Genomic DNA, 25,238 nt, shown 5'->3' on the forward strand with positions numbered 1-25,238 from the left:
AGGGAAGAAAACATAGGATGCTGGAGAGCTGGTTTGGTTGGAATAACACGGAAGACACCCGTGAAAGACAAGAAGCACACTGGCCCGCAGGAGACGAGGAGGAATGAGGATGGCAAATAGTGAATTTTTTTTTTTTTTTTTTTTGAGATGGAGTCTTGCTTTGTTGCCCAGGCTGGAGTGCAGTGGTGCGATCTTGGCTCACTGCAACCTCCACCTCCTGGGTTCACGCCATTCTCCTGCCTCAGCCTCCCGAGTAGCTGGGACTACAGGCACCCCCCACCACACCCGGCTAATTTTTTATATTTTTTTTAGTAGAGATGGAGTTTCACCGTATTAGCCAGGATGGTCTCGATCTCCTGACCTCGTGATCCGCCCTCCTTGGCCTCTCAAAGTGCTGGGATTACAGGCTTGAGCCACCACGCCCGGCCCAAATAGTGAATTTTTAACCATGGGTAATGAGTAAAAGAGAGATGAATCCAGAGATGAGTGAGGGCAGTAGGGATGGAACATCAAATCTATGACTTTGAGACAGGTGAGTGTAAATGCAGAAAAGACCCAGAATAAGTCCATAGATACAGATTATGATAGTAAATCCAGAAAGATGAGGTTTAAAAAAAAAAAAGCAAATGTAGAATCTTTTGAGGACAGGTGAAGGCGTGGCAGGTGAGGTTTAAGATGTGAAATTAATCAAAGCAATCTGTAGTAGACAGTAGGTGTAGGTGTATAGGTGACTAAGATTTCATCACCTTAATTAAGGTGATTTTTTTCCAACCATAGATATTGATGAAGTAAGGCCAGGTAGGGGAAGATGAGTGAAGGAGCAAGAAATGGTGGCAAACAGGAGGTTTTTATCTACAGGCAAAGGATGAGGGCTGAAATAAGAGAAAGCAGGAGTGCAAAGTTGGCAAAGATGGGATAAACGTGTCTGGTGGATAATCAAATGAGGCAAAGCCAGAGATAAAAGCAACAGTGCATGGCTGAAAACATGGAATACGGCTAACCACAGGGAGATGAGGACAAGAGGCGGGCATAGGACCAGACAGAGCCGTGAGGCCAATTGTCTTGATGTCTCCCCAGCCCGCCTGCCAGGAGACAATGCTTTGGACATGTTCCAGAAGCATCGAGAGAAGGAACTGAAAGACAGACAGCAGATCTACTGGTGACCACCCACCCCTTAAACTAACCCCGCCACCACTGTCCCACCCCTTCCCTGCCCCTGCCCCTGCCCCTGGCCCCATCACTGACCATGACATCCTTCCTGAAGCTTTGTCCCCAACTCCTAGCTGGGCCACCTGGAAGGAAGGGTTACCCCTGACCATCGCTGCAGACCGTAAGGATGATCTACCTCCAAATATGAGATTCCATGAGGAGAAGAGGCTGGACTTTGAATGGACACTGAAGGCAGGGTGAGAAAAAGGCTAGACCTCGGAGTGAAATAAGGGCTGGGAGGGCCAAGAATGATGATAGACGGTGAGGGACTGAGGGATCAGCTGATGAGTTAAGCCTCAATACCTGTCCTAGGGCTCTGGAGATGGCCCTCAAACGTGTTTACACCCTCCTGAGCTCCTGGAACTGCCTAGAAGACTTTGATCAGATCTTCTGGGGCCAGAAGAGTGCCCTGGCTGGTCAGTGGTTCCCCGAGGTCTCCATAATCCCTTAATGGCCCCTCTGGATGACTCATCACACTCCACAGTCCCCCGTAACTCTTTGCAAGAAGAGACCTTATCATATCTGGTCAACTCAGAGAGGCCTTGAGAATGAAAACGCAGAAGCTGGGTTCAGGGAGGGTTATATACCTGAACCCCTGGGGTAGATTTTGGAGAAGGGATATGCAGGCTGTGGTACATATATCCTCCTTTCACCGCCCACCAAAGAGAAGGTTCGCCAGTGCTGGCAGGATGATGAGTTGTTCAGCTACCAGTTCCTCAATGGTGCCAACCCCATGCTGTTGAGACGCTCGACCTCTCTGCCCTCCAGGCTAGTGCTGCCCTCGGGGATGGAAGAGCTTCAGGCTCAACTGGAGAAAGAACTTCAGGTACCTCTCCTTCCCCTGCCTGGCACTGTTCTCTCCTTAGTAGTGTGGTGAGAACGGACAGAGAGAATCCAAACTGAGTCAGAGGAAGGCTGCAGTACTGCATTGCCCCTTGGTGCAGTCCTGTGCTGGAAAAATACAGAAATAAAATATGTAGGGGAAGAAACTATGAGGAGCTCCCAGCAGGAAGGGGAAAATAGAATGGATCCCCAGCACACAGAGAGGGGCTGGAGATGTTAGCAGGAACAGTGACATTGCCTGGCCGCAGTGTTCTGGACTCCAGTGTTCATGGGCAGGGAGAAAAGTGAGGAAGTGCCATCAGGTGGGGAGAATCGGGGAGGCTTTCTAGAAAAAGAGAGCGGGGTTTGGAAGCAATGGACTGTACTGAGGACAAGCCTAGGCAAAATGTGTGCGTATGCATGTGTGTGCTGTATGCGGTGGCAGGGGTAGTAGGGGAAGCTCTCTGGAATATTTGGCAGAGGATGTGAGATTTGAATAGGGAATGAAAGAGCATTTGCTGAGCTGATAGGAGCCAAAACCAGAGCGCAGACCATTCGGGAATGATCAGAAAGGGGCCTGGCCATTTGACAGGTGGTCAGTTTACAATGCCTGTGATGCCAACTGGATTGAGCAGGCCTGGTTCCAAACCCAGATCTGCCACCACATCCACACACAAGACATCTACCCTCACCAGACTGTTTCTTCACTTTAAGATGAGAGGAACTGGACCAGGGGCTCTAGTTCTCCCAACAGGGCTCCGGTACTGATGCAGGAGAATGGCAAGAAGCTAGACTAAATCTCTTGCCCTTTGCCCCGGCCCCCTGGGGGTAGACTTTGAACTCTAAAAATGGATACATCCCTCCTGTCCCCAGAATGGTTCCCTGTTTGAAGCTGACTTCATCCTTCTGGATGGAATTCCAGCCAACGTGATCCGAGGAGAGAAGCAATACCTGGCTGCCCCCCTCGTTATGCTGAAGATGGAGCCCAATGGGAAGCTGCAGCCCATGGTCATCCAGGTAAGGGCCCCAGACCTCTCCCACAACGTTGCACTCTGTTCACCTCAACCTCTGCTCCCAGGGACCCAACCCCCAGCTCTTGGCTCCCAAACCCCATCCTCACTCAGTGAGACTTGTCTTCATGTCACTATTTGCCTGTACCCTCGTCTCCCCTGCCTCATCCAACTAGAATTACTTTTTCAAGAGTCAAAATGGCCTCCTGGAGTTCTCATCCTGTATCCAATGGTCCTCACACTTCAGTGTGCATCAGAATCACCTGAATGCCTGTTGAAATGCAGATTTCTGGATCCCATGACCAGACTTTCTGATTCAGTATGTCTGGGGTGGGAACTAAGAGTTTGCGTTTTTATAAGTTCCAAAGTGATGCTGACACTACCAGTTCAGGACTACACTTTCAGAATCACTATCTCATCTCTCAGTGGCCTCTGGCTCTGAACCCTCGCCATCTCTTGAATATCTTTTCTCGCAATTTCTTTTTTTTTTTTGAGACAGAATCTCACTGTGTCACTCAGGCTGGAATACAGTTGTGTGATCTTGGCTCACTGCAACCTGCGCCTCCTGGGTTCAAGCAATTCTCCCACCTCAGTCCCTCCAGTAGCTGGGACCACAGGCATGTGCCACCATGTGGGCCTGGCTAATTTTTGTATTTTTTGTAGAGATGGGGTTTCGCCATATTGCCCAGGCTGGTCTTGAACTTCTGGGCTCAAGTAATCTGCCTGCCTCGGCCTCCCAAAGTGCTGGGATTACAGGTGTGAGCCACTGCACCTGGCCTTCTCTCACTATTCTTAACAGTCAGGTGACAAGAACTGTCAATAATCTTACACCTCCTACTTCTCCTTCACATTCCACCACCATCTGAGCGCCGACCCCAAAGCAGCAGGTTTCTCCCACACCACTGTTAGGGCCTCCTTCTGGACCCCCTTCTTCCAGTCCCTCCTGCCTTCCACCTGACATCAGGGCACTCCAGCTAGCGAGCGGCAGGCTGGGAGGGTTCACAGTCCTCCTGCTAGACTATAACCTCCTAGAAGGCAATAATCTTACTTAGTCATCTCTGTTTCCCCAAGAATGCTGACTATAATGTCATATACGGAATGGGAGTTCAATAATTTCTCTTTCTCCCAGATTCAGCCTCCCAACCCCAGCTCTCCAACCCCAACACTGTTCCTGCCCTCAGACCCCCCACTTGCCTGGCTCCTGGCAAAGTCCTGGGTCCGAAATTCAGATTTCCAACTGCACGAGATCCAGTATCACTTGCTGAACACTCACCTGGTGGCTGAGGTCATCGCTGTCGCCACCATGCGGTGCCTCCCAGGACTGCACCCCATCTTCAAGGTACTTATTAATCTATTAAATCACATATCCCTCAGACCCCAGAGAGAGGAACAGCCCCATATCAAAAGATATTGCAGCAGCAAAAACTCTTTGTAGCAATTTGTGAGTGAAGAGGAGACTGTCTCAATATCTTGAGATGTTGATTTTAATTAAGTTTATTAAGTTTAGTCACTTAACATTATATAGGAATCCTCTGAAATTCTCAGAGATCTGACAGTCTAGCAGTGCGCTCACAGTAGGGCTTGAACACTGCTAGTAAAACAAAAGCCATATTCCTACCTTAGATCTAGTATTTAGCCAGAAAAACAAGTGATGCCCATAAGAACCAACCAGAGAACAGTATCTGGTACTAGAGTTTGAAATCACAAGGGACAGCCTATAACAGTATAGTATTGATGAAGAATGTTTCTACCCAATTGAGGAGTCAGCTAAGTAGAAACAGACCAAAAGGCAAGGAAGAACAGCCAGCAAGCCGCTCATACCTGCCCAACAGTAAGGTGGATAGAGATGTATGTTAGCATGGTAATGACAGGAATGAAAAGGAAAGAATCTAAAACGTAGTGAAGGGAGGAAATGGTAGCTGCAGCGTGCCTGGGTGCAAGAGAGAGAAAAGCCAGAAGTCCAAGCTTCTGCCACACCTGTAAGTCCCTGGGGCAGGTGTGTTATACTGACCTAGAAATACTGTGGTTTTAAGAGCTGGGTGTGGTGGTTCACGCCTGTAATCCCAGTGCTTTGGGTGGCCAAAGCAGTATGATTGCTTAAGACCAGGAGTTCAAGACCAGCCTGGGCAACACAGCAAGTCCCGGTCTCTAAATAAAAAGAAAGAAAGAAAGAAATACTGTAATTTTATAAAACAGTGAGTTCCATATATATTGCTGGGAGAAGGCAAAATAAGACCTGTGCTTGCTTAAGAAAATGTTCTTAAAATCTTGATGATACTTTATATACAGGGAACTTGGCAGAGGGAGCACAAAAATGATACAAGCTTACAAACCAGAGTAATTGTCAGAAACAGTAAAGTTAGAAGAAACCAGAGTCAGCAAAAATGAGGTGTTTGGTTTTAGGTACATGGAGTTTGATGTATTGGCAAGATATGCAAGTATGTCCTGGGTAAAAACAACCAAATTGTGTTTCAGCTGGGGGCCTCCACCAAGACCCCCCAAGCCTGGCCAGTATAGCTGTGCCGCCTCTGGAATTTTCCCCTTCGGTAACATAGACAAGATGGAGACCAGTCTGATGAATGGAATCTTGGATTTCATTCATCTCATGCTGTCTCCTGCTTCCCCATCCTCTGCTCCACACGAACAAGTGAAGCCTCTATTCACACTTACAATTCCGTTTCCTAGTTCAGTCCTCTCCGTGTCTCCACTCACCACAGTAATGCCATGCCCCAGCGGACAGCTGAGTTGCTGGCAGATGCACACAAGGGTCAAGCCTGCACATGTCTTAACAGTGGCCTATGCAGGCTCTGACTTTGGATTGCTGGGGTCTTAGTCCTGAACCCCGGCCTCAATAATTTCCAGATGTCCTCACATGTTCCATCGTGAGGTTATTAAAGGTTAAAATGACTTAATGGTGTGACACAAGCTAAATGCTACAAAAAACATTAGTTCTTGCAAATTTTTTTTTTTCAGAGACAAGTTCTCACTCTGTCACCCAGGCTGGAGTCCAGTGGCGTAATCATAACTCACTGCAGCTTCAAACTCCTGGGCTGAAGCGATCCTCTAACCTCAGCCTTCAGAGTAGCTGGGACTACAGGTGTGCACCACCATGCCTGGCTAATTTTTTTTATTTTTTGTAGAGACAGGGTTTCACTATGTGGCCCAAGCTAGTCTCAAATTCCTGGGCTCAAGCGATCCTCCTGCCTCAGTCTCCCAAGTAACCTGGATTGCAGGCACATGCCGCCACACCCAGCTAGTTCTTGCAATTATTATTATTAAGGACTGTTTATCCTTAGGCATCCTTTCTCCTCATGTGGACTTTGGCCTTTCCGTGACATTTGGCATCTTTCATGAATCTTCTGAAAAGCTTCAGGTTAATGTGAGCTGCTTTGGTATCTTAACACCAAAGGTGTCATTGGGGTCATTGCCAGTGTCCAGCATCAACAATTCAGACAAGCACCAAAACTGCTTGAAACCTGCATGTTAACTATGTGGAAAGGAAGACAAACAGTCTAAGATAAAAAGAAACGCATGTAAGGACCATGCCTTTTTTAATAGCTAAGGAAAATATTTTAATATTTTTAATTTAATAAATTTTAATTTATTAAAATTAAAATTTTAATTTAATATTAAATTAAAATTTTAATTTTAATTTTAAATAAATAATTAAAATTTAAATAAATTTAAATTTAAAATTTAAATTTAATTTTAAATAAACATTTAAATTTTTAATTTTAATATTAAATTAATTTAATTTAATATTAATTTAACTTAATTTAATTTAATATTAATTTAACTTAATTTAATTAATTTAATATTAAATTAAATTTTAATATTTTTAATTTTAATATTAATTTAATATTAAATTAAATTTTAATATTTTTAATTTTAATATTAATTTAATTTAATTTAATTTAATATTAATTAATTTAATTTTAATTTTAATTGCTTCAATATTAAATTAAATTTTAATATTTTTATTTTAATATTAAATTAAAATTTTAATTTAAAATTAAATATTTAATATTAAATTAATTTAAATTTAATATTAAATTTTAATAGCTAAGGAAAATATTTTAATATTAAAAAAAGACCATGGCCTTTTTTCAATAGCTAAGGAAAAGCAGGAGAAGAGGGGCCCAACAGTGCTTAAGTAGGGGTGGAGAAAGATTTGCTTAAACAGGTAGCTGAATATAGCTCTTCTAGTTCTGACAGAAAGTATTCTCCCCATCCATCCCCTAAAGAAACCCCCAACTGTGAAACAACTAAAAGATGGAGATGCAGCTTTGATCATAAGCAGAGAGGCTAGTTTAAGAGGATGTGAATGACAGAGGAGGTAGCAAAGAAAATCAGAAAGGGCTGATTCATAAGGCACCTATACTCAAGGTAGAAACAATGAAGCAGACAGCTACTATTCCAGGACTCTTATGTGTAATAGACACTCTCCAACATCACTTAGGTGAGCATCACCACAGCCCCTGAGATAAGAGAGTCTATTGCTGCCCCCTGTTGACAAATGAAGAGATTGCAGATTAAAAGGTTATTAACTTGGCCAAGTCTCAAATGAGGAGTAAAGTGTAGGTTAAAATCCTGGTCAGTCTGGCTCCAGGGCCCAACTCACAGGGAAGTTGGAGAGCACAAGAGTGAGTGATCAGAACAGCAGGAGATCAGCCTGTAAAGGAAAGCATCAAGAGGAGAAGGCGCCATGCTGGGTGCCAGGCCCTACCAGGAAGGACCCAAGCATGGCCTCCACCAGTCACGCCCTCCAATCTCCTCCTCTCCAGTTCCTGATCCCCCATATCCGCTACACCATGGAAATCAACACCCGGGCCCGGACCCAACTCATCTCAGATGGAGGAATTTTTGATAAGGTGAGGAGGGTACGGGGCATGGGACTGCCTCATCCATCTCTCCATGATCTGCCACTTTCAGGATCCAAGATCAACTATGTGTGAATGTCCTCACTCTTAACCTATGAACCTGTCCCTTTTATACCCATGTCTTTTTTTTTTTTTTTTTTTTTTTTGAGACAGAGTCTAGCTCTGTCGCCCAGGTTGGAGTGCAGTGGCGCCATCTCGGCTCACTGCCATCTCCGCCTCCTGGGTTCAAGCGATTCTCCTGCCTCAGCCTCCCGAGTAGCTGGGATTACAGGCGCCCGCCACCATGCCCAGCTAATTTTTATATTTTTAGTAGAGATGGGGTTTCACTGTGTTGGCCAGACTGGTCTCGAACTCCTGACCTCATGATCCACCCACCTCAGCCTCCCAAAGTGCTGTATACCCATGTCTTAATATCTGAAAATCCCACATTTGCCCCACTTTATGGAAGATGTGTTGGTTCTCCAGCCCTGTTTCCCCCTCTAAGACCTGTGATCTCCTGTCCCAGGCAGTGAGCACAGGTGGAGGGGGCCATGTACAGTTGCTCCGTCGGGCGGCAGCTCAGCTGACCTACTGCTCCCTCTGTCCTCCTGACGACCTGGCTGACCGGGGCCTGCTGGGACTCCCAGGTGCTCTCTATGCCCATGATGCTTTACGGCTCTGGGAGATCATTGCCAGGTGAGTAAGGAGGAGCTGAGAAATGGTGGGGCCGGGGGGGGGGGGGGCTCTGGCCTGAGGCCAGCATGGGGCAAAAGCAAGAAGGTCCAGAAAGGAGAAGCAGAGAACTCAATCCTGGGGAGAGATGAGGAAAAGTGAGGACACAGTGGGTGGCTCTGAAAATGAGGAGACTGGGATGAGGCAGAGAGAGGAGGTGAGGGGAGCTGTGGGGGGAGACTGGGGGAGGTGTCTGGAAAAATCAGGATTTTCTGACGATGTATGACAGCAACCATGCGAATTCCTAGAACTAAGGACCCACATCTTCCATGAGATGCTAGTGTGTTTAGAGGGCTGAGGATGTCCCAAAGGCGAGGTGTCTTCCCAGATACTGTGGAAGCATTGGGCAGATGCCACAGAAAGAGGAATAGAGGTCAGAGGCGGGGGCTTTCTGCCCTCAAGTGCCTTTTCCCCCTGGGCAGGTATGTGGAGGGGATCGTCCACCTCTTCTACCAAAGGGATGACATAGTGAAGGGGGACCCTGAGCTGCAGGCCTGGTGTCGGGAGATCACGGAGGTGGGGCTGTGCCAGGCCCAGGACCGAGGTAAGATCCATTCTAGAGACAGAAGAAGCTCCTGGGAGACTCTGCCAGGGCGCCTTCCCAGCCCTGCCCTTCTGGGGACAGGACCCCAGCCTCTCATCACGCCTCCCTTCCTCCCTCCACACGGGAAAGCATGTGTATCCCATTCCCACCTCCTCCGACTCAGGACAATTCTAGAGACCCAAGGACTGTCCTCCTCAGAGACCCTGGCCATCAACCCCTAGTCCCACTACACCCCAGTCACAGATGCCCCTGAACTGCCATATCCTGGGGCCCCCCAGGCCATATCCACAGCTGGGAGGGGTCTGCACAGTCCCTGCTGGGCTCATATTCTCTCCTGATGGTTCCGTTTTCCTAACTGAGGATGTAAATGGGAAGATTTTCCCTCCGAAGCCCACAAGGACCCACCCTGGCTTTCCCTCCCTCTCTTCCTGCCTGCCACTGTGCAGCACGCACAGAGGGTCCAGGAATACCGCACGCTTGCTACAGTGCAAGGTCAGCTCTTGATGCAAGCTCAATCCTATACATGCTTTGCCTCAAACCCAAACTCAGCACCCTGATCCTTGGGGCTCAGGTTTCTTTGGCTAATCCAACTCTTCCACCCTAACCACCCCTTGGCCAAAATCTAGCCACTACCTTTAGTCAACTCTCACTCCCCACATTTGAACCTCTGAGGAAGAAAAAGCCTTTGCTGAGCTCTTAGGTTTAATCACACAGGCACCAGCCTGGACTGCTGTCACTCATCCTTCGGCCCCTCCCCCTCACACTTCAGATCTAGGCTGTGAATACCATCCTCTGCCTCTGTGAGACAACTACAGACATTTACTGGGGAGCCCTTATGGCGAATCCTGGGAATGTGGCAAACCTCCTTACCCTGGAGGGAGCCTCTCCCTGGGGAATCTGCACCACCCTACCCTTCCAGGACCAAACTCTCTCTAGTTCTTCTCAGTACAGTCCCTTAGGCTCCTAGCAGTTTGGGCTACTACAACAAAACACTAGCTGGGCACAGTGGCTCACGCTTGTAATCCCAGCACTTTGGGAGGCTGAGGTGGGTGGATCACGAGGTCAGGAGTTCGAGACCAGCCTGGCCAACATAGTGAAACCCGTCTCTACTAAAAATACAAAAATTAGCCAGGCGTCGTGGCACGCACCTGTAATCCCAGCTACTCGGGAGGCTGAGGCAGGAGAATCGCTTGAACTTGGGAGGCGGAGGTTGCAGTGAGCTGAGATCACGCCATTGCACTCCAGCCTGGGCAACAGAGCGAAACTCCGTCTCAAAAAAATAAAATAAAAAAAACCACACACCATAGACTGGGTGGCTTATAAACAACAGAAATGTATTCCTCACAGTTCTGGAGGCTGAAAGTTCAAGATCAGGTTCTGGTGAGACCCCTCTTCCAGGCTGCCCACAGCCGATTTCTCCCTGTATCCTCACACAGCAGAAAGATAGCAAGCTAGCACTCTGTCCTCTGCTCATAAAGGTATCAAACCCATTCAGGAGGGCTGCACCCTCACACCCTAATTATCATGTGGGGCTCCACCTCCAAATACCATCACAATAGGATTAGATTTCAATATAAAAATTTTTCGGAGCCAAAGACATTCAGTTCATGACACATGTTAACTTTAACCTCCACTAACCACCCTCCCCCCTGTTCTCTTTCAGTTCTCATAGCTCACTTTTGTCTAGTTTTCCCAGCAGACATTTTAGAGGCTAAAATTAAAAATGCCATGGGATTAGCAGTCAGGAACCTGAGTTCAAGATCAGCCTCTGCCTTTTCCCAACTATGCAGTCCTGACAGTTTATTCTCTATGGGCTTTGATTTTCTTACCTATAAAATGAGAGTAATTATATTTATTCCACTTAACTGATAAGATTATTGGGTCTCCCAGCACTTTAGGAGGCCAAGGTGGGCAGATCACCTGAGGCCAGGAGTTCCAGACCAGCCTAGCCAACACGGTGAAACTCCATCTCTACTAAAAATACAAAAATTAGCTGGGCATGGTGGTGGGAGCCTGTAATCCCAGCTACTTGGGAGGCTGAGGCAGGAGAATCACTTGAACCTGAGAGGCGGAGGTTACAGTGAGCCGAGATTGTGCCACTGCACTCCAGCCTGGGCAACAGAGCAAGACTCCGTCTCAAAAAAAAAAAAAAGATTATCGGGTCTCTGAGCCCCCATATCCACTGCAAAATGAGTGGACTGAGATAACCTTTGTGGGAGCCCCTCTCAGCTGTGACACTGGAAATCCATGACTTATTCCCCACATTATAACGCAGACACTTGTAATTCTGTCTGGGAATAGGATTACGCATTCCTAAATTATTTATTTATTTTTTAATTTTTAAATAGAGACAGGCTCTTGCTCTGTCACCTGACTACCAGCAATCCTCCTGCCTTGGCCTCCCAAAGTGCTGGGATTACAGGCATGAGTCACCGACCACGCATCCCTCAATTGGTTTTTTTTTTTTTTTGAGACAGACTCTCGTTGTGTCGCCCAGGCTGGAGTGCAGTGGCGGGATCTCAGCTCGCTGCAAGCTCTGCCTCCCGGGTTCACGCCATTCTCCTGCCTCAGCCTCCCGAGTACCTGGGACTACAGGTGCCCGCCACCACACCTGGCTAACTTTTCGTATTTTTAGTAGAGACGGGGTTTCACCGTGTTAGCCAGGATGGTCTCGATCTCCTGACCTCGTGATCCGCCCATCTTGGCCTCCCCAAGTGCTGGGACTACAGGCGTGAGCCACCGCGCCCGGCCGCATCCCTCAATTCTTAACCACTTTTTGAGGCAAGGGATATTTGGTCACTCAGAACTTTTCAGCCCCCAATCCTTCCATAACAATAATTATTACTTACTTATTGAGCATTTATTACAGACCAGGTGATTTTGATACATCATCTCATTTATAATGTAGGTATCGTCCATATTTTACAGGTGAAAAAAACTGAGGTTCAAATAGGTTAAGCTGGCCTATGGTAACTAAGTGTAAGTGACTGAGCCAGGACTTAAACGCATGTCTGATGCAAATACGTCTAAATAAAATAAACAAATTCATCAATTCTAAAATATGGGCATCCCAAAACAACAGCCTTTGTTCCTCTCCTCTTATGCTGTAGCTTCTAACTGCTATTCCTTTCCTGCCCAGGTTTCCCTGTCTCCTTCCAGTCCCAGAGTCAACTCTGCCATTTCCTCACCATGTGCGTCTTCACGTGCACTGCCCAGCATGCCGCCATCAACCAGGGCCAGGTATGGACAGCTGAAAGCCCAGGTCCCTGAAGGCAAGGTGACCTGAGGGAGAGATGGGAGTTCAAACCCTAAGTACCAGGGTTCTAGGGTTACAGTTTCTTCCTCCAGCTGGACTGGTATGCCTGGGTCCCTAATGCTCCATGCACAATGCGGATGCCCCCACCCACCACCAAGGAAGATGTGACGATGGCCACAGTGATGGGGTCACTACCTGATGTCCGGCAGGCCTGTCTTCAAATGGCCATCTCATGGCATCTGAGTCGCCGCCAGCCAGACATGGTGAGAGGGGACTCTCGGGAGAGGGAAATGACAGTTGGAAAGGAAACATCAGAGTGAGGGGCTGGGCTCTAGGTGCGTTTGTCTTTAGAAACTGACTGATCCTTTGTTCTGTCTCAGGTGCCTCTGGGGCACCACAAAGAAAAATATTTCTCAGGCCCCAAGCCCAAAGCTGTGCTAAACCAATTCCGAACAGATTTGGAAAAGCTGGAAAAGGAGATTACAGCCCGGAATGAGCAACTTGACTGGCCCTATGAATATCTGAAGCCCAGCTGCATAGAGAACAGTGTCACCATCTGAGCCCTAGAGTGACTCTACCTGCAAGATTTCACATCAGCTTTAGGACTGACATTTCTATCTTGAATTTCATGCTTTCCTAAAGTCTCTGCTGCTAAGGCTCTATTTCCTCCCCCAGTTAAACCCCCTACATTAGTATCCCACTAGCCCAGGGGAGCAGTAAACTTTCTCTGCAAAGACTAGATCCTTTTTTACGCTTTGCAGACCGCATAGTCACTGTCTCAACTACTCAGCTCTCCTGCTGCAGCATGAAGGCAGCCACAGACAACATGGAAATGAGTGTGACTATGTTCCAATAAAACTTTATGGACACTGAGATATGAATGTTACATCACAAAGTAGTCTTCTTTTGGTTTATTCAACCATTTAAAATGCAAAAAAAATCCACAAACAAATGTGCTTTGTTTGAGACATGCACAGCCAGGCTACAGACTGGATTTGGCCCTTGAACCCTGCACTAGCCTGAGGCCCTGACCCTACTTCCAAAACATCCAAGATCATGGAGCAGGGGGATTTCTTAGAAAAATCAGCTTACCTCAGCTAACTCTCCATTCCCAGGAACTAACCTTCATGCCTGGTGGCCAATGTACAAATTCCTGACTCAGTTCTTTGGCAAATTCCTTCCACCCATATTTCTCCTATTCACCCATGTACCCCAAAAGTCCCTGAATAAGAATCATGTTTTTGGGGCAGAATACAAACCACTGCCCCAAAATGGCTTCTTTCTCCAAACAGTCCCAGATGAAAGGCACATAATTCATGTCTTAAGGCTACTTTTCCAGCCCCTTTAATACTCTGGGATCTATGTGTTTCCCACATTCCAAGTTATCTTTCACAAGCCTTTTAAGAACAACATGCACAAAATAAATGGACAAGAACTACAAAGTTATTCTAGCCAATGATAGTGTTTATTTGTTAGGTCCTGGGGTCTCAAGGTCAAATGATCCCTCTCAATTATTCTGAGGTCACTGTCCTCACTAGAGTGGGTACAACTTGCTCACTGCAAAACTGTGTTCTTCAAACATCCCTACTTCTTTTCTTTTCTTTTTTTTTTTTTTTTTAGAAGTAGTCTCTATCGCCCAGGCGGGAATGCAGTGGCGCCATCTCAGCTCACTGCAACCTTCGCCTCCCGGGTTCAAGGGATTATCCCGCCTCACCATCCCGAGTGGCTGGGATCACAAGCTCATGCCACCACATCCAGCTAATTTTTGTAATTTTTAGTAGAGACAGGGTTTCGCCATGTTGACCTGGCTGGTCTCGAACTCCCGACCTCAGGTGATCCGCCCGCCTCGACATTCCTATTTCTAAATAATTATTACAGATCTGTCACTCACCAGTTAAACATACAAACGGCTTTTTTGGAGGGGATGACCTATTTATATTTTTAAATCTTATATCCTACCTTATTCAAAAGTCCTATCAGTTTTCCTAGTTTAGAGAAGCAAAGTGACATTTTTGTGTACATTTAACAGGACTGCTTACCTTCACAACCTGCTCAGTCGGCTTTCCCTGGACTTCTCCTAACCGCCCATTTTTCCTGGATTTGGCACCGAGAGTTACAGTATTTCACGTGCGATGATAAAATGTTACTTAGGAGAAACAGTTCCAATACCAAGAAACTTCAGCAATTTTAAAGCATTTTAAAGCCACAAAACCATGCCCGATCCCCAAAAGGGGGTCCTAACTCCTTTACACTGTCAGAATCTCAATTTTAAAAGGGAGGAGTAGAGAAGAGATAGAAACGCTCTCTGTTGGTGAAAATCTGTCTTACTTACCATTTCCCCAACACAGGAGAGACTAAGGAATTTCAGGTAAAAATCAGATGGCTCCAATCCTCCGATACTAAGAGCCCATCGCCCCAGTTCCCAGGAGTTCCGCCAGTTAGACTTTTTCCCCCATGGCCTCGCTAAGGCTAGTTCCTCGTCACGTGACGTGACAGGCTTGGTCACGTGACATACCAGCTCCTTCCATTCCCGTGTGCGGGGGGAGGGGGACCAACAAACCGGAGGCCCTCGCTCTTCCAATACTCACGCCCTAGCTACAGAGGTCAAGGAAGGTTTCCCCAGGAGCAGTTTTGGTTTCAGACGGCGCCGTCTCCCGCGAAAGTCCTGAGAGGAGCCCAGCCTTTTCCGCCTGCCGCCCCCGGATGGGATGGTTGAGGCCGGGGCCACGCCCCCTCTGCCCCCCTGCGAGGGCATCCTGGGCTTTCTCCCACCGCTTTCCGAGCCCGCTTGCACCTCGGCGATCCCCGACTCCCTTCTTTATGGCGTCGCTCCTGTGCTGTGGGCCGAAGCTGGCCGCCTGCGGCATCGTCCTCAGCGCCTGGGGAGTGATCATGTTGGTGAGGGGACTCCCCGGCAAGGATCGGAGAGGGCCTGAGGGGCTCCGGGCTGGGAGGGCTGGGAGGCGAGGAAACTCTGGGCCGCAGGCAGGCCGGAGGGGCCGGGGATCTACAGGCCCCGGAGAAGGAGACAGACTGAAATTGAAAAATGGGAACTGTTCGAGACCAGCCTGACCAACATGGTGAAACCCCGTCTCCAATAAAAATACAAAAATTAGCCGGGCGTGGTGGCGCCCGCCTGTAATCCCAGCTACTCAGGAGGCTGAGGCAGGAGAATCGCTTGAATCCGGGAGGCGGAGGGTGCAGTGAGCCGAGATCGCGCCACTGCACTCCAGCCTGGGTGACAGAGCGAGACTCCGTCCCCAAAGAAAAAGAAAAAAGGGAACTGGAGCGGAGGGCCCTGGAGTGGGAGGAGCCAGGGCTGGTAAAGGTGGAGACCCCTCAAGGTAGGAGAAACAAGAGCGGGGTGCCTGAGAGGTGCTTGAGTTGAATGGAGGACATGGGAGGAAAAGAGAGTGCTTGTTCCAGAAATGTGTAGCTGGGCCTTGTTTTCCCAGTAATCCACCCACCGCCACTTCAAGAAGAAATGATATGAAGAAGTGCCGGTTCTCCCTCCCCTCTTCCGCACTGTCCCGTGATGATGACGCCTCCAGAGAGGACGATAATCTGGGTTCCTGGGAGAGATGGCTTGGTCACTATTCCCACCCTTGCCTCGACCACTTGTCTCAATGTCACCACCTCACGCCCTGTTCCAGGTGGCTGAGTCCGAATCCAGTAACCACCACCTCGTTTTGGTTAATCTCAGGCTCGGGTGTTGTAGCAACATTGGAAATGGGAGGGGTTTACGAAGTGAACATGAGGTCAGGTGCCTGAATTCAACAGTCTACCCATTCCCCTTTTCCAGATAATGCTCGGAATATTTTTCAATGTCCATTCCGCTGTGTTGATTGAGGACGTTCCCTTCACGGAGAAAGATTTTGAGTAAGTATTCGGGTGGGGGAGGCGGGCTGGGAGCAGGTGGGAGGTGGCGAGGCCTAGGGTCAGAATTACGTCTGGGAGGCCCGGTGCTTAGGGCCCCTAGGTTAGAGGACTTGGAGAGGAGAGCGGCTTTCTTGAGAATGTGGTTAGGAGCCAGGGAGTCAGACCTCAGCGGCCATCCCAAACCCACCACCTTAGGTGTGACCTCTTTAGGTATTTTACTTTTCTGTGCTTCTCAGTCCACCTCTGCAAAATGGCTATGACAGATCTCACCCCATAGGATGGTCAAGAAGATTGAATAAAGTAATACACGTAACAGCGCCTAAACAGGTGTCGGGCACATAGTGCTCAGAAAATGTTGGCTCCTATTAAAGTTTGACCCCTTTGCTTCATTCCCACCCCCAGGAATGGCCCCCAGAACATATACAACCTTTACGAGCAAGTCAGCTACAACTGTTTCATCGCTGCAGGCCTTTACCTCCTCCTCGGAGGCTTCTCTTTCTGCCAAGTTCGGCTCAATAAGCGCAAGGAATACATGGTGCGCTAGGGCCCCGGCGCGTTTCCCCGCTCCAGCCCCTCCTCTATTTAAAGACTCCCTGCACCGTGTCACCCAGGTCGCGTCCCACCCTTGCCGGCGCCCTCTGCGGGACTGGGTTTCCCGGGCGAGAGACTGAATCCCTTCTCCCATCTCTGGCATCCGGCCCCCGTGGAGAGGGCTGAGGCTGGGGGGCTGTTCCGTTTCTCCACCCTTCGCTGTGTCCCGTATCTCAATAAAGAGAATCTGCTCTCTTCAGCCCTGTGTCTGTGCTTGAGTGGGGGCGAGCACGGGGCTGAGACTAGAGGTCGGCCTCTGCCTGGAAAGTCCCGATGTCTGAGCGGAAGTGGAGCGAAGTGTGGCGCGGAAGTGAGGCGAAGGCTTTCCCCATCGACTGGGCGCGCCGAGCGGTCTAAGCGACTGCGTCTGATGGGGCGGGGAGCCGCCGGGTTGAGCCTATCCGCTGCGGGGAGGGCGGGACTTCCTGCGCGGGGGCCCGAGCCGCTCAGTCTCCCTGCTCTCCGTGGTCCCGGCTCGCGTGTAGCGGCGGCGGCGGCGTCTCCGTGAGGAGGCGCGCGGGGCCATGACGTCAGCGTCCACAAAGGTTCGACCTCCCTCGCGGACAGCGCTCCCTGGCGGCCACGGGAGGGCGGGCCCCCCACTTGGCTCGCGGCTCTTCCGCCCCGGGCGGGGGGCGGGCGGGAGCCGAGCCTGGGGTGGGGCTAGGGGCTCCGGGCGGGACGGGGAGGGCGGGCGCCGGCCCCCCGTGACGCTGCCCCGCCCCCAGGTCGGAGAGATCTTCTCGGCGGCCGGCGCCGCCTTCACGAAGCTCGGGGAGCTGACGATGCAGCTGCATCCCGTGGCCGACTCTTCTCCTGCGGGGTACGTGAGCCCGGACTGGGACGTGGACGCTGAGAGCGGGCGCTTGGACTCGGTCACAGACACGGACCCTCTCTAGCACAGGGACAGACATTAGTTTCCCTTTGTGCGTGGCACAGCACAGAGTCGGTGTTAATAAATGATCGTTGGGTGAGGGAATGAATGACAGATAAAAATACAGACAGGCCCATAGCCCAGACTCCTGTTTCACAGTTCTCCCTGCTGCGAACGGGTCGACCACAAACCACCGCCACTCCCAACCACCCCAGTTCATGGAATTCCCCCAGACGGCTGCAGGCTGTGTTGGTGGGTCTGTTTTGAAAAGCCCTTCCTGGCGAGTTGGTTTCAGTGTGCTGTGTACAGCAGCCGTTTAACGTTGATGGTGGAAAGGGGTGTCTAAGGTGGAGGTGGTTGTGATTTCTTGTGATTGGGGTCCTCCCGGTTCCCGCAGGGCCTCAAGAGCTTTCCGCCTCCCCTTACGGAGGACCTCTTTATGCATCCGTGGAAGGGGTCCCAGAAATCGGAAGGAGGCGGCTGGTTGGCTGTGGGATGCATAGCCTGTGGGCGGGCTCCACACCCCCCCTCCCATTTTTGCTATCCCCCCTCTCCCCTTCTGACAGTGCGAAGTGGACGGAGACGGAAATAGAGATGCTGAGGGCTGCTGTGAAGCGATTTGGGGACGATCTTAATCACATCAGCTGTGTCATCAAGGAACGGACAGTGTGAGGGAGGGTGGCTGCCAGAAAAGGGCGGGTGGGCAGCCTTCTTCCTCCTTACCCAAGGTTCCATCGTCCTCAGAACTCCTTTCCAGCTCAGCTGCTTCCCTACTTTGTCACTAGTTTTTTAGAATCCCCTTGAGGACTGAAAGAATAGAATTGTCACAGTTGGTCAGAAGTTCCTAAAATGCTGTGGTAATCCTTCCAAGAATGTGAATTTAGGTTGCCTGAGATGCTGTTATTGTATTTGATGATGGAAGTCCCCTGGTTATTTATATAAATGTTTGAGGACCCCACTGCAGTGTTTCCAGGGATATGGTGACCCTGAACTAGTTGATCAGTAAATCTCAATCCACCTGTAAATCACCAAGCTCTACCTGATGTCTCTCCCAGAAGAGAATTAGGAGATGGGCCTTTCCCACTACTCAGTTCAGGGACTCCACTCTCCACACTCCATCCATCCTGAGTGAGTGTAAAACTTCGAGAAAGTGAGAACCCTACCAATGGGTTGGGGCCCCGACCTGGATTCTTATGAAGGGACTCCCAGAACCCCTTCCCCTCCCGTCCCCTCTTCTGTTAGTCTCTCTGATGACTCCTTTCCTAACCTCTTCTCTCTTTTCTTCAGGGCCCAGATAAAGGCCACTGTGAAACGCAAGGTATATGAAGATTCTGGCATCCCCCTTCCAGCTGAGTCACCCAAGAAAGGGCCCAAGAAGGTGGCATCTGGTGTCTTGTCACCTCCTCCAGCTGCCCCTCCTCCCAGCAGCTCCAGTGTCCCTGAGGCCGGGGGTCCCCCCATAAAGAAACAGAAGGCTGGTGAGGGCTGTGGAGTTGCTGCCTAGGGGTTAAAGGTCCCATCTGAGGTTTAGTGAGAGAATTGGGCCTGGGTCAAAGAAGGGTCAGTCTCTCTTCCTGTCCCTGTGGAGGTTCCCAGAGAGGGGCAGAGGGGAGGGGAGAGGAGGCACAAAGCTTTGGGAAGCTTGGGGCTGGGGGAGAGGCTGTCAGGGGAACCTAGAACCTAGCTTATGCCCCCTTCCCAGATGTGACACTCAGTGCTCTGAACGACTCCGATGCCAACAGTGACGTGGTGGATATTGAAGGGCTAGGAGAAACTCCTCCAGCTAAGAAACTCAACTTCGACCAGGGTAGGAGTCCTCCTCCTCCCACACAGCTGACGGGGTTGGGGAGAAAGGGCTCACCTGGATGGCAGGGCACGGTCTCCGCAGGGGCCCCTCCCTTGTATAGGGGTTTCAGAAGAGAAGGTGCTCTCATACACAGCGCAGGGCATTGGATCAGTACGTAGCAGGGTGTTTCAGGGAGGTGGGAGTGGCCTTGGAAGCACACTGGGGGCTCGCTCCATCTCGGCCCATTTTACTTCCTGTTCCAGACAGCCTGACCCTGGATTCTGGCCTTCTCATGACCTCTGCTGATCCTCCTCTCCTCTCCTGCTGAGCCTTCCACCTCTGACCTCTCACTGTTCATGCCGGACCTGTGGATCTCCTGGGACTCCGAGCAAGGCCTGCACGAGAGAGGGCTGAAAGGCTGCTGGGGCTGCCACCTCGCTATTCCCGCATAAGCATCTGCCCCCAACCCCTTTGACCTTCATCTGATGGACATTTTTATACAGAAAACAATAAAGATTTCCCTCTCAGCTTCGTGCTGTCTGCTTAACATTATTAGCAGGAGAGGCCTGTTCCCTCTTCTCTCCTCGGCCCATGGGGGCTCAGCCCCTCCTCGGTAGTTTTCACCACCCTGCCTGGAGCAGCACAGCCAATATTGGCAGACTCGCTTCCCTGTGCCAATATTTCTGTGCTGCTAGAGCCAGGGAAGCTGGGTGTGGGCAACAAAGACTCCACTTTGTTCTCTTGAGGCAGAACTTACTCCCAGGGTCTCTGGCCATCAGTATTCTTGAAACTGCCCTGGAGATTTTAGAGGGGTGCTTACATACCCCACCCTCTCCTTGCCCACCTGGCAAGAAGTTTGTCACAAGGCCCCAGATGTTTTTTGTGTCACTTCTCCAGGATGGCCTCCCAGGGCCAAGCCTCGGCGGTGCCTCCCCCACCCTCGCTCTAACACCACAGTGTGGTTTGGACGTGGCCACAGTGCCGTACAAACCACAGTGTGCTGCTGGGGCGGGAGCAGGACCGGGGTGGGTTGAAAGGAAGAGAGCACATAGCAGTGCTGGGAAGACCCCAGCACCACCTCCAGGAGCGGGGGGATAGAGAAGCCTTAAAAGGCAAACATGGCCCCCAAAAACGTTTGGGAGGAACCAGGGACGGGCTGAGCAGGCAACTGGAAGGCGACGGACCATGGGGATGAGCTCACAGTGTAGTAAGATTGGACCATCTTCCCTCTGTAGGAACTCAGCTCAGGGGATCCCTAGGGTGGGGTCAGAGGCAGAAGAAATAGGGAATGACTGGAGGGGCCAACACACTGCCTCCTGTCTCAGCAAGGGCAGGGACCCAAGGCTTCCTGTGTCCGTCCTTCCTCTCCCTGGGTCAGAACCCAAGAGAAAAGCAAGGAGAGACAGAGGGCCAAGGCCAGCAGGGTTGGGAGTTGGCAGTCCAGAGGTGGTGGGGCCGGAACATGGTTGGGAGAGGGGGGCCGGAAGTCGCCCTGGGCCCTGGGCCTGCCACAAGATGGAGGCCAAAGGCAGGAAATGGAGACCAGGGGGAAGGGGAGCAGCAGAGCCCAGGAAGAGGGCCATCTGGACCTGGGGGGCCAGGTATTCAACCCCCAGTGCTGTTCCCACTCCCCAGGGCCCCTGAGGACCCGAGCCGGCCCCCACAGCAACCTCCATCAGCCCATCCACCAGGCCAGGGCAGGCGGGCCCACCCCAGAGAGCCACGTTTAAGCTGAGACAAACATGCCTCTCCCCACCCCCAACTCCAGGCCTTCCCTCAGCCCTTTTCTCCTGTCCAGGACTTGATTTTTTAAAAACACCCCTCAGAAAGCAAAATCCAAGGGCCAAAACTCCTTTTGCAAATCAAAATATGACCCCCTAAAATCCAGAAGTTATCTTCCTATATCCCATCGCATCTTTTACCACCCCCTCTTCCGACACACCCCCCAAAACTCTTAGCAATCTGAAAGATCCAAGGTGGTGTATGTAAGCAGTCTTTTTAGGCCCCCGAAGATGCCAGACCCCTCCCGGACACCCCTATCTGCCCTCCATCAAATCTTGCCAAGGCCTCCTGCTCCTCCACCACCCTCCATAGCCCCCAAACTAACAGTTGCCCCCAGCTCCTACCTCGGCAGAGCCTTTGTGGGGGGTGAAAGAGAAATTAAACACTATCCTAACGGCTGGGGATGTTGGGGGGCTCTCTGGTCTCAGCCTTTGGTTTCCGTCTGGGGGGCTGCAGTTTAGGGGTATAAGAGAAAGCCTCTCCAATCATCCCCCCAATTCCAAGACTGACAAAGCCAACCCCACCCCAGCACGCACCTCCAAACCTCCCCCCCAACCGCCACGTCTCTCCTGAAAACAGAGGACACTTCCCTCCCCACTTACCTCAGCTACTCTCCCCTGAGATCCTGGTCCCCTATTTTGAAAAGAGCAAAATTTAGGGTGCATCCCTCACATTTGGGGTGCAGGAGAAAGGAGCCGCCCCAGTCGCATCGCTGGCCTCCTTCCTCTCGGCTGGCTCAGGGACTGGGGAGTGCCCTGGGGAGGGGGCACCCCCACAAGAGATCTCAGGAGGGGTTCCTCCACTCCCAGTCAGAATTGGGGACACCCCCCCAAAACCCGTCCCAGCCCATCCGTCTCCAACTCGGCGGGAGAGGCAGCTGCAATGCCCCAGTCAGATTCACCCAACACTACATTCCTCACCCCATCTAGAGGGGTCCCGGGGTCCCCAAAAAATCCCAAAAAAATCTAGGATGTTGGGAGGACGGTCCTGGACTAGCTCCCCAAATTTGGGGTCCTCAGATACCCCCGTTTTTTCAGGAAAATTCCGTCTTTTGCCTGCCTCCCGCCAGCCCTGCTCTGTCCCGATGCCAATTTTGGAAGTCACTCCCTCCTTCCTCCTCCCCGTCTCTCCAGGCCCCCCCCACCGCTCGGGGGCTAGGGTCCAGGACACCTGGCTTCCAGACCGGGGGGAATCACTCCTCAAAGGGCTAGGGGCCAGGAGGTCAAGCTCATTGCCCCTGTCTTAAGGAAGCAGGAAAGCCCGTTCCTCCCTTCCCCTCCCCCCTGGCTGGTCACCGTGGTGGTTTAGGAAAGCCTGGAGGATTGGAATCTGCCATTGCTGTTGCACAGGCAGTTTTTTTTCTTGGGTTGGGGGGGTGGGCGGTGGGAGGGAGAGAGGGGAGGAGGGCCGAAGAGAGAAGGGACCCAGGCGCGAAGAGCTGGCCTGGCTTACCCTGTAGCCCCGGCTGCCGTGGGGAACCCCTCCCCGCCATCTCACCCACACTCCCAGTCCTCTGTCTGCTTTCTGTTTGGGGCTCATCCTAGAAAATCAGGGTGCAAGAATCACCTCCTTGTACCCCACCAGCACCCCTCCTTGCCACAGTTCCAACAGCACTGCCCTGGTCAGGGGTGCCCACTTGGCCAAGGGACACCCCATTTTTCTCCAACTTCCCCCAAACTAAGGGGTGCTCCCTTAAGAAATTGGGATTCAGAGTCTGAAACCGCCTTTTCTCCCTCTCTTCTCCCTCAAGCCACATAATAATAAAAGGAGATACCACACCCTTTCCAAGTTTCTCCCTTCAAATCCTGGGCTTATTTGGGGGTTCACTAAAGAAACTTCTAGAATCTGGGGTGAGAGGGCACTATAAGCAAAAGACATCCCAAACCAGGGTCCAAATTAAGTGAACTCCCAAATCAGTCTCACCTTATGATTATCCCTTAGCTTCACCAAAAGCAGCCAGAGTGACAAAACACCCCCAAAATAAGAACACCCCAGAACTTTAGTCTCCTGTCCTCGCGGCCCTCACCTTGTTTCTCCCCTGGGGAAAAAGCTTCTTGGGTATCCATGGATACACAGGAATACCCCACGTCTTTCCACTTTGTGGAACGTGAGTGTCCACAAGACTCAAATATAAAAGTTTGCTCCCCCCTCCCAGGACCCCCAATCACAGAAAGCTTCGAACTTGCTCCCAGCTTCCTATAATGTTCCACCTCAAACTAATTTTTAAAACTCCAAATTGAACTTATTCCCCAAATCTAATCTGAGCCTTGAAACTTAGATGGCACCCCAAAATAGACTGCACCCCCAAATCAGCATGAGTACTTTGGTTCTGCTGATAGTCCAAGATGACACAGGTGAGCACAATCTCCAAATTGTGGGTGTCAGAACCCCCAGAACTAATGTAACTTCCAAGTCAGCCCCATACCTGAAACTTACCATATAGGCCTCAAAGGCTGAATGCAGCCACCGGTGCTCACAATCAAATCAACACCCCATAATAAACAGACACCCCACAACTGATCAAATAATACTCCATCCTGATGCCAAAGGGAGAGCCCCTAGTCTAATTCTCATCTCCAAGCTGGGCAGAGACCTAAATAACCCTCACATGTCAAAGCCACCTCATCGTCCTGAATTTCCCAGTTCCCGGTTTCTCAGCTGTTCTTTCATGCATTCAAATAAAGACACACTCCGGTCTGAAGGGGAGGGCCCCGGGCCTGATATCCAGCCCCGTGGACCATGGTCGGCCATTCCTGGCCAACTGTACACTCTCCCCAGCCCAAATCCGGGGAGCTTCTGCCTTGCAGCTGGATTCAGCTCTAGCACCCCTTCTCCAAATGAGCTTTGCCTTGCCTGCCCGCAATGTCTCCCGAAACAAAATATGAGGGTGTGATCCATGCCCATCTCTCAGATCAGGGACTTCAAATTAGGGTGGTTAAGCCCCCTCCTGCCCTCTCTCCCTCCTCCTTGTTTTCCCTTCTCGTTTACCCCACCCAATTTTAATGTTCAATTAAAAGTCACCTCCAAAGACATCTGGGTAGCAGTGTCTAGCTTAATTCGAAAAGAAAACCCGGAGTTCCCAGGCTCAGGTCCCGCTTCTTGTCCCACCCATTCCCCTGGCTCCTAAAGCCCGCGATTTCTCACCTCGGGTAGGAACCCCAGCCTGAGGGGAAAGTCCCCTCGGTCTCCTAACTCTAGCTCCCTCCGCCCAGCCCTAGTCCCCTCCTAGGAGACAGAGGTGCAAAATAAACCCGCGCAAAGGGGAGGAGGCTAAAGGTTTCAGCCGCCCAGACCAAATGGATCCTGCGCCCGGGTCTGAGCGCACCCCAGGCCGGGTGGAGACGAGGGGCGAGGCGAGGCCAGTGCTCGGCCGCCCCCTCGTGGAAGGAGCCGCACATTGCCGAGCCTTGCCTACTTGCCGCGCTGGACCCCGGCGTCCCGCCAGCCTCCAAGCGTAGCCGACGGGCGGGTGCCCGAGGCCCTCGTGAGCTGGGATTGGGGGAAAGCAAGCGGGCTTTGGGCGGGAGTCCATCTCTCTGGATCCCTACAAGGACCCAGAAGAGAGTCGGGAGCGAGAGAGGCCGGACGCCTAGGTCTCCCGAGCGTCTCTCGCCCCTCCACCCCCACCTCGGGGCTTTCCCCACCTCCTCGAGGGGAAGCAGCTGGCGGAGCCGTCCGGTCGCAGGACAATGGAAGGAAACCAACTAGAAATCATATCCGCCCTCTCCGTACCCCGCCCGGCCAGAGCCCCCCTTTTTGTAGGCCCGGGTAGAGTAGCCTGTCATTCACACCACACCCTCCCCGTCTGAGACCCTACGGGAGCCCACTGTCGTCTGCCCAAACCTGCTGTCTCGTTGGGCTCCCCCTTTTCTCCCTTAACACAGTACAAGAGAG

General features: G+C 51.0%; 3 protein-coding genes, 3 long non-coding RNA genes and 2 other non-coding genes across 13 annotated transcripts in view, besides 11 other annotated features; 4 read left to right on the forward strand and 4 right to left on the reverse strand.

Annotated features, from left to right (window-relative positions):
• Positions 1-13,323, forward strand: part of ALOX12 (arachidonate 12-lipoxygenase, 12S type) — a 14,706-nt gene extending 1,383 nt beyond the window's left edge. Inside the window, exons 3-14 of one of the 2 annotated variants that reach the window (NM_000697.3) lie at positions 1,078-1,159; positions 1,284-1,406; positions 1,522-1,625; positions 1,875-2,035; positions 2,905-3,048; positions 4,171-4,380; positions 7,826-7,912; positions 8,427-8,596; positions 9,055-9,176; positions 12,316-12,416; positions 12,525-12,695; positions 12,813-13,323. In NM_000697.3, coding sequence (NP_000688.2) covers positions 1,078-1,159; positions 1,284-1,406; positions 1,522-1,625; positions 1,875-2,035; positions 2,905-3,048; positions 4,171-4,380; positions 7,826-7,912; positions 8,427-8,596; positions 9,055-9,176; positions 12,316-12,416; positions 12,525-12,695; positions 12,813-12,992 — 1,655 coding nt within the window. In that variant the 3' untranslated portion in view covers positions 12,993-13,323. The remainder of the gene's footprint in view (positions 1-1,077; positions 1,160-1,283; positions 1,407-1,521; positions 1,626-1,874; positions 2,036-2,904; positions 3,049-4,170; positions 4,381-7,825; positions 7,913-8,426; positions 8,597-9,054; positions 9,177-12,315; positions 12,417-12,524; positions 12,696-12,812) is intronic. The other variant, XM_011523780.3, reaches the window with a different exon arrangement.
• Positions 1-14,903, reverse strand: part of ALOX12-AS1 (ALOX12 antisense RNA 1) — a 27,212-nt gene extending 12,309 nt beyond the window's left edge. The window contains exons 1-2 of the long non-coding RNA NR_040089.1: positions 14,765-14,903; positions 12,365-12,458 (exon numbers count right to left, since the gene is read on the reverse strand). This is a non-coding gene — a long non-coding RNA (ALOX12 antisense RNA 1). The remainder of the gene's footprint in view (positions 1-12,364; positions 12,459-14,764) is intronic.
• Positions 14,554-15,174: an enhancer, noted in NCBI's record as "H3K27ac hESC enhancer chr17:6915304-6915924 (GRCh37/hg19 assembly coordinates)". NCBI's record gives its function as "activates a minimal SCP1, AML or CMV promoter by ChIP-STARR-seq in primed H9 embryonic stem cells {active_cell/tissue: H9 hESC(primed)}" and the evidence as "EXISTENCE:reporter gene assay evidence [ECO:0000049][PMID:30033119]".
• RNASEK-C17orf49 (RNASEK-C17orf49 readthrough) lies at positions 14,986-20,093 on the forward strand. The gene is made up of 8 exons (NR_037717.1): positions 14,986-15,326; positions 16,235-16,311; positions 16,714-17,447; positions 17,631-17,725; positions 18,343-18,444; positions 19,064-19,254; positions 19,479-19,583; positions 19,830-20,093. It is a non-coding gene; the product is annotated as an RNASEK-C17orf49 readthrough (long non-coding RNA).
• RNASEK (ribonuclease K) lies at positions 15,193-17,101 on the forward strand. 3 transcript variants are annotated; one of them, NR_037715.2, is made up of 4 exons: positions 15,193-15,330; positions 15,888-16,104; positions 16,235-16,311; positions 16,714-17,101. NR_037715.2 is itself a non-coding variant. In NM_001004333.5 (3 exons), the coding sequence occupies exons 1-3, from the start codon at positions 15,253-15,255 to the stop codon at positions 16,853-16,855; spliced, it is 297 nt and encodes a 98-aa protein (NP_001004333.3). In that variant the 5' UTR covers positions 15,193-15,252; the 3' UTR covers positions 16,856-17,101. The 3 variants fall into 3 exon arrangements, 1 of the variants encoding a protein (NP_001004333.3); NR_037716.2 differs by lacking the exon at positions 15,888-16,104 and having other exon boundaries at positions 15,193-15,326; NM_001004333.5 differs by lacking the exon at positions 15,888-16,104.
• Positions 15,254-15,373: an enhancer, noted in NCBI's record as "active region_11592". NCBI's record gives its function as "activates an Ori minimal core promoter by ATAC-STARR-seq in GM12878 lymphoblastoid cells {active_cell/tissue: GM12878}" and the evidence as "EXISTENCE:reporter gene assay evidence [ECO:0000049][PMID:35858748]".
• Positions 15,454-15,633: an enhancer, noted in NCBI's record as "active region_11593". NCBI's record gives its function as "activates an Ori minimal core promoter by ATAC-STARR-seq in GM12878 lymphoblastoid cells {active_cell/tissue: GM12878}" and the evidence as "EXISTENCE:reporter gene assay evidence [ECO:0000049][PMID:35858748]".
• Positions 16,813-17,313: an enhancer, noted in NCBI's record as "H3K27ac hESC enhancer chr17:6917563-6918063 (GRCh37/hg19 assembly coordinates)". NCBI's record gives its function as "activates a minimal SCP1, AML or CMV promoter by ChIP-STARR-seq in primed H9 embryonic stem cells {active_cell/tissue: H9 hESC(primed)}" and the evidence as "EXISTENCE:reporter gene assay evidence [ECO:0000049][PMID:30033119]".
• Positions 17,064-17,193: an enhancer, noted in NCBI's record as "active region_11594". NCBI's record gives its function as "activates an Ori minimal core promoter by ATAC-STARR-seq in GM12878 lymphoblastoid cells {active_cell/tissue: GM12878}" and the evidence as "EXISTENCE:reporter gene assay evidence [ECO:0000049][PMID:35858748]".
• Positions 17,284-17,733: a silencer, noted in NCBI's record as "silent region_8080". NCBI's record gives its function as "represses an Ori minimal core promoter by ATAC-STARR-seq in GM12878 lymphoblastoid cells {active_cell/tissue: GM12878}" and the evidence as "EXISTENCE:reporter gene assay evidence [ECO:0000049][PMID:35858748]".
• Positions 17,284-18,164: a biological region, named in NCBI's record as "H3K4me1 hESC enhancer GRCh37_chr17:6918414-6918914".
• BACC1 (BPTF associated chromatin complex component 1) lies at positions 17,351-20,089 on the forward strand. 3 transcript variants are annotated; one of them, NM_001142798.3, is made up of 6 exons: positions 17,351-17,447; positions 17,631-17,725; positions 18,343-18,444; positions 19,064-19,254; positions 19,479-19,583; positions 19,826-20,089. In NM_001142798.3, exons 1-6 carry the CDS (start codon positions 17,427-17,429, stop codon positions 19,888-19,890), a joined length of 579 nt encoding a protein of 192 aa, NP_001136270.1. In that variant the 5' UTR covers positions 17,351-17,426; the 3' UTR covers positions 19,891-20,089. The 3 variants fall into 3 exon arrangements, with proteins under 3 accessions (NP_001136270.1, NP_777553.1, NP_001136271.1); NM_174893.4 differs by having other exon boundaries at positions 19,830-20,089; NM_001142799.3 differs by lacking the exon at positions 18,343-18,444 and having other exon boundaries at positions 19,830-20,089.
• Positions 17,664-18,164: an enhancer, noted in NCBI's record as "H3K4me1 hESC enhancer chr17:6918414-6918914 (GRCh37/hg19 assembly coordinates)". NCBI's record gives its function as "activates a minimal SCP1, AML or CMV promoter by ChIP-STARR-seq in naive H9 embryonic stem cells {active_cell/tissue: H9 hESC(naive)}" and the evidence as "EXISTENCE:reporter gene assay evidence [ECO:0000049][PMID:30033119]".
• On the reverse strand, positions 18,387-22,223 carry MIR497HG (mir-497-195 cluster host gene). Its single transcript, NR_038310.1, has 3 exons — positions 21,947-22,223; positions 19,638-19,957; positions 18,387-18,583 (listed from the first exon to the last, which is right to left on the reverse strand). It is a non-coding gene; the product is annotated as a mir-497-195 cluster host gene (long non-coding RNA).
• Positions 18,577-19,776: an enhancer, noted in NCBI's record as "CDK7 strongly-dependent group 2 enhancer chr17:6919327-6920526 (GRCh37/hg19 assembly coordinates)". NCBI's record gives its function as "activates an origin of replication core promoter dependent on BRD2, BRD4, P300/CBP, MED14 and CDK7 cofactors, with strong dependence on CDK7, by STARR-seq in HCT116 cells {active_cell/tissue: HCT116}" and the evidence as "EXISTENCE:reporter gene assay evidence [ECO:0000049][PMID:35650434]".
• MIR195 (microRNA 195) lies at positions 20,184-20,270 on the reverse strand. The gene has a single exon (NR_029712.1). It is a non-coding gene; the product is annotated as a microRNA 195 (primary transcript).
• On the reverse strand, positions 20,480-20,591 carry MIR497 (microRNA 497). The gene has a single exon (NR_030178.1). It is a non-coding gene; the product is annotated as a microRNA 497 (primary transcript).
• Positions 21,128-21,297: an enhancer, noted in NCBI's record as "experimental_47316 CRE fragment used in MPRA reporter constructs". NCBI's record gives its function as "activates a minimal promoter by MPRAs in K562 erythroleukemia cells, with activity observed for both the introgressed and non-introgressed 17:6921963 variant alleles {active_cell/tissue: K562}" and the evidence as "EXISTENCE:reporter gene assay evidence [ECO:0000049][PMID:34662402]".
• Positions 24,573-24,712: a silencer, noted in NCBI's record as "silent region_8081". NCBI's record gives its function as "represses an Ori minimal core promoter by ATAC-STARR-seq in GM12878 lymphoblastoid cells {active_cell/tissue: GM12878}" and the evidence as "EXISTENCE:reporter gene assay evidence [ECO:0000049][PMID:35858748]".

The sequence above is a fragment of the Homo sapiens genome, chromosome 17, assembly GCF_000001405.40.
Source record: "Homo sapiens chromosome 17, GRCh38.p14 Primary Assembly".
NCBI lineage: Eukaryota > Metazoa > Chordata > Mammalia > Primates > Hominidae > Homo > Homo sapiens.

Coding starts and splice junctions, on each gene's coding strand:
- RNASEK (NM_001004333.5), top strand. CDS start 15,253: ATGGCGTCGCTCCTGTGCTGTGGGCCGAAGCTGGCCGCCTGCGGCATC. Junction 15,331..16,234: donor CCTGGGGAGTGATCATGTTG/GTGAGGGGACTC, acceptor CCCCTTTTCCAG/ATAATGCTCGGAATATTTTT. Junction 16,312..16,713: donor TTCACGGAGAAAGATTTTGA/GTAAGTATTCGG, acceptor TCCCACCCCCAG/GAATGGCCCCCAGAACATAT.
- BACC1 (NM_001142798.3), top strand. CDS start 17,427: ATGACGTCAGCGTCCACAAAG. Junction 17,726..18,342: donor GCCGACTCTTCTCCTGCGGG/GTACGTGAGCCC, acceptor CCCTTCTGACAG/TGCGAAGTGGACGGAGACGG. Junction 18,445..19,063: donor GTCATCAAGGAACGGACAGT/GTGAGGGAGGGT, acceptor TCTTTTCTTCAG/GGCCCAGATAAAGGCCACTG.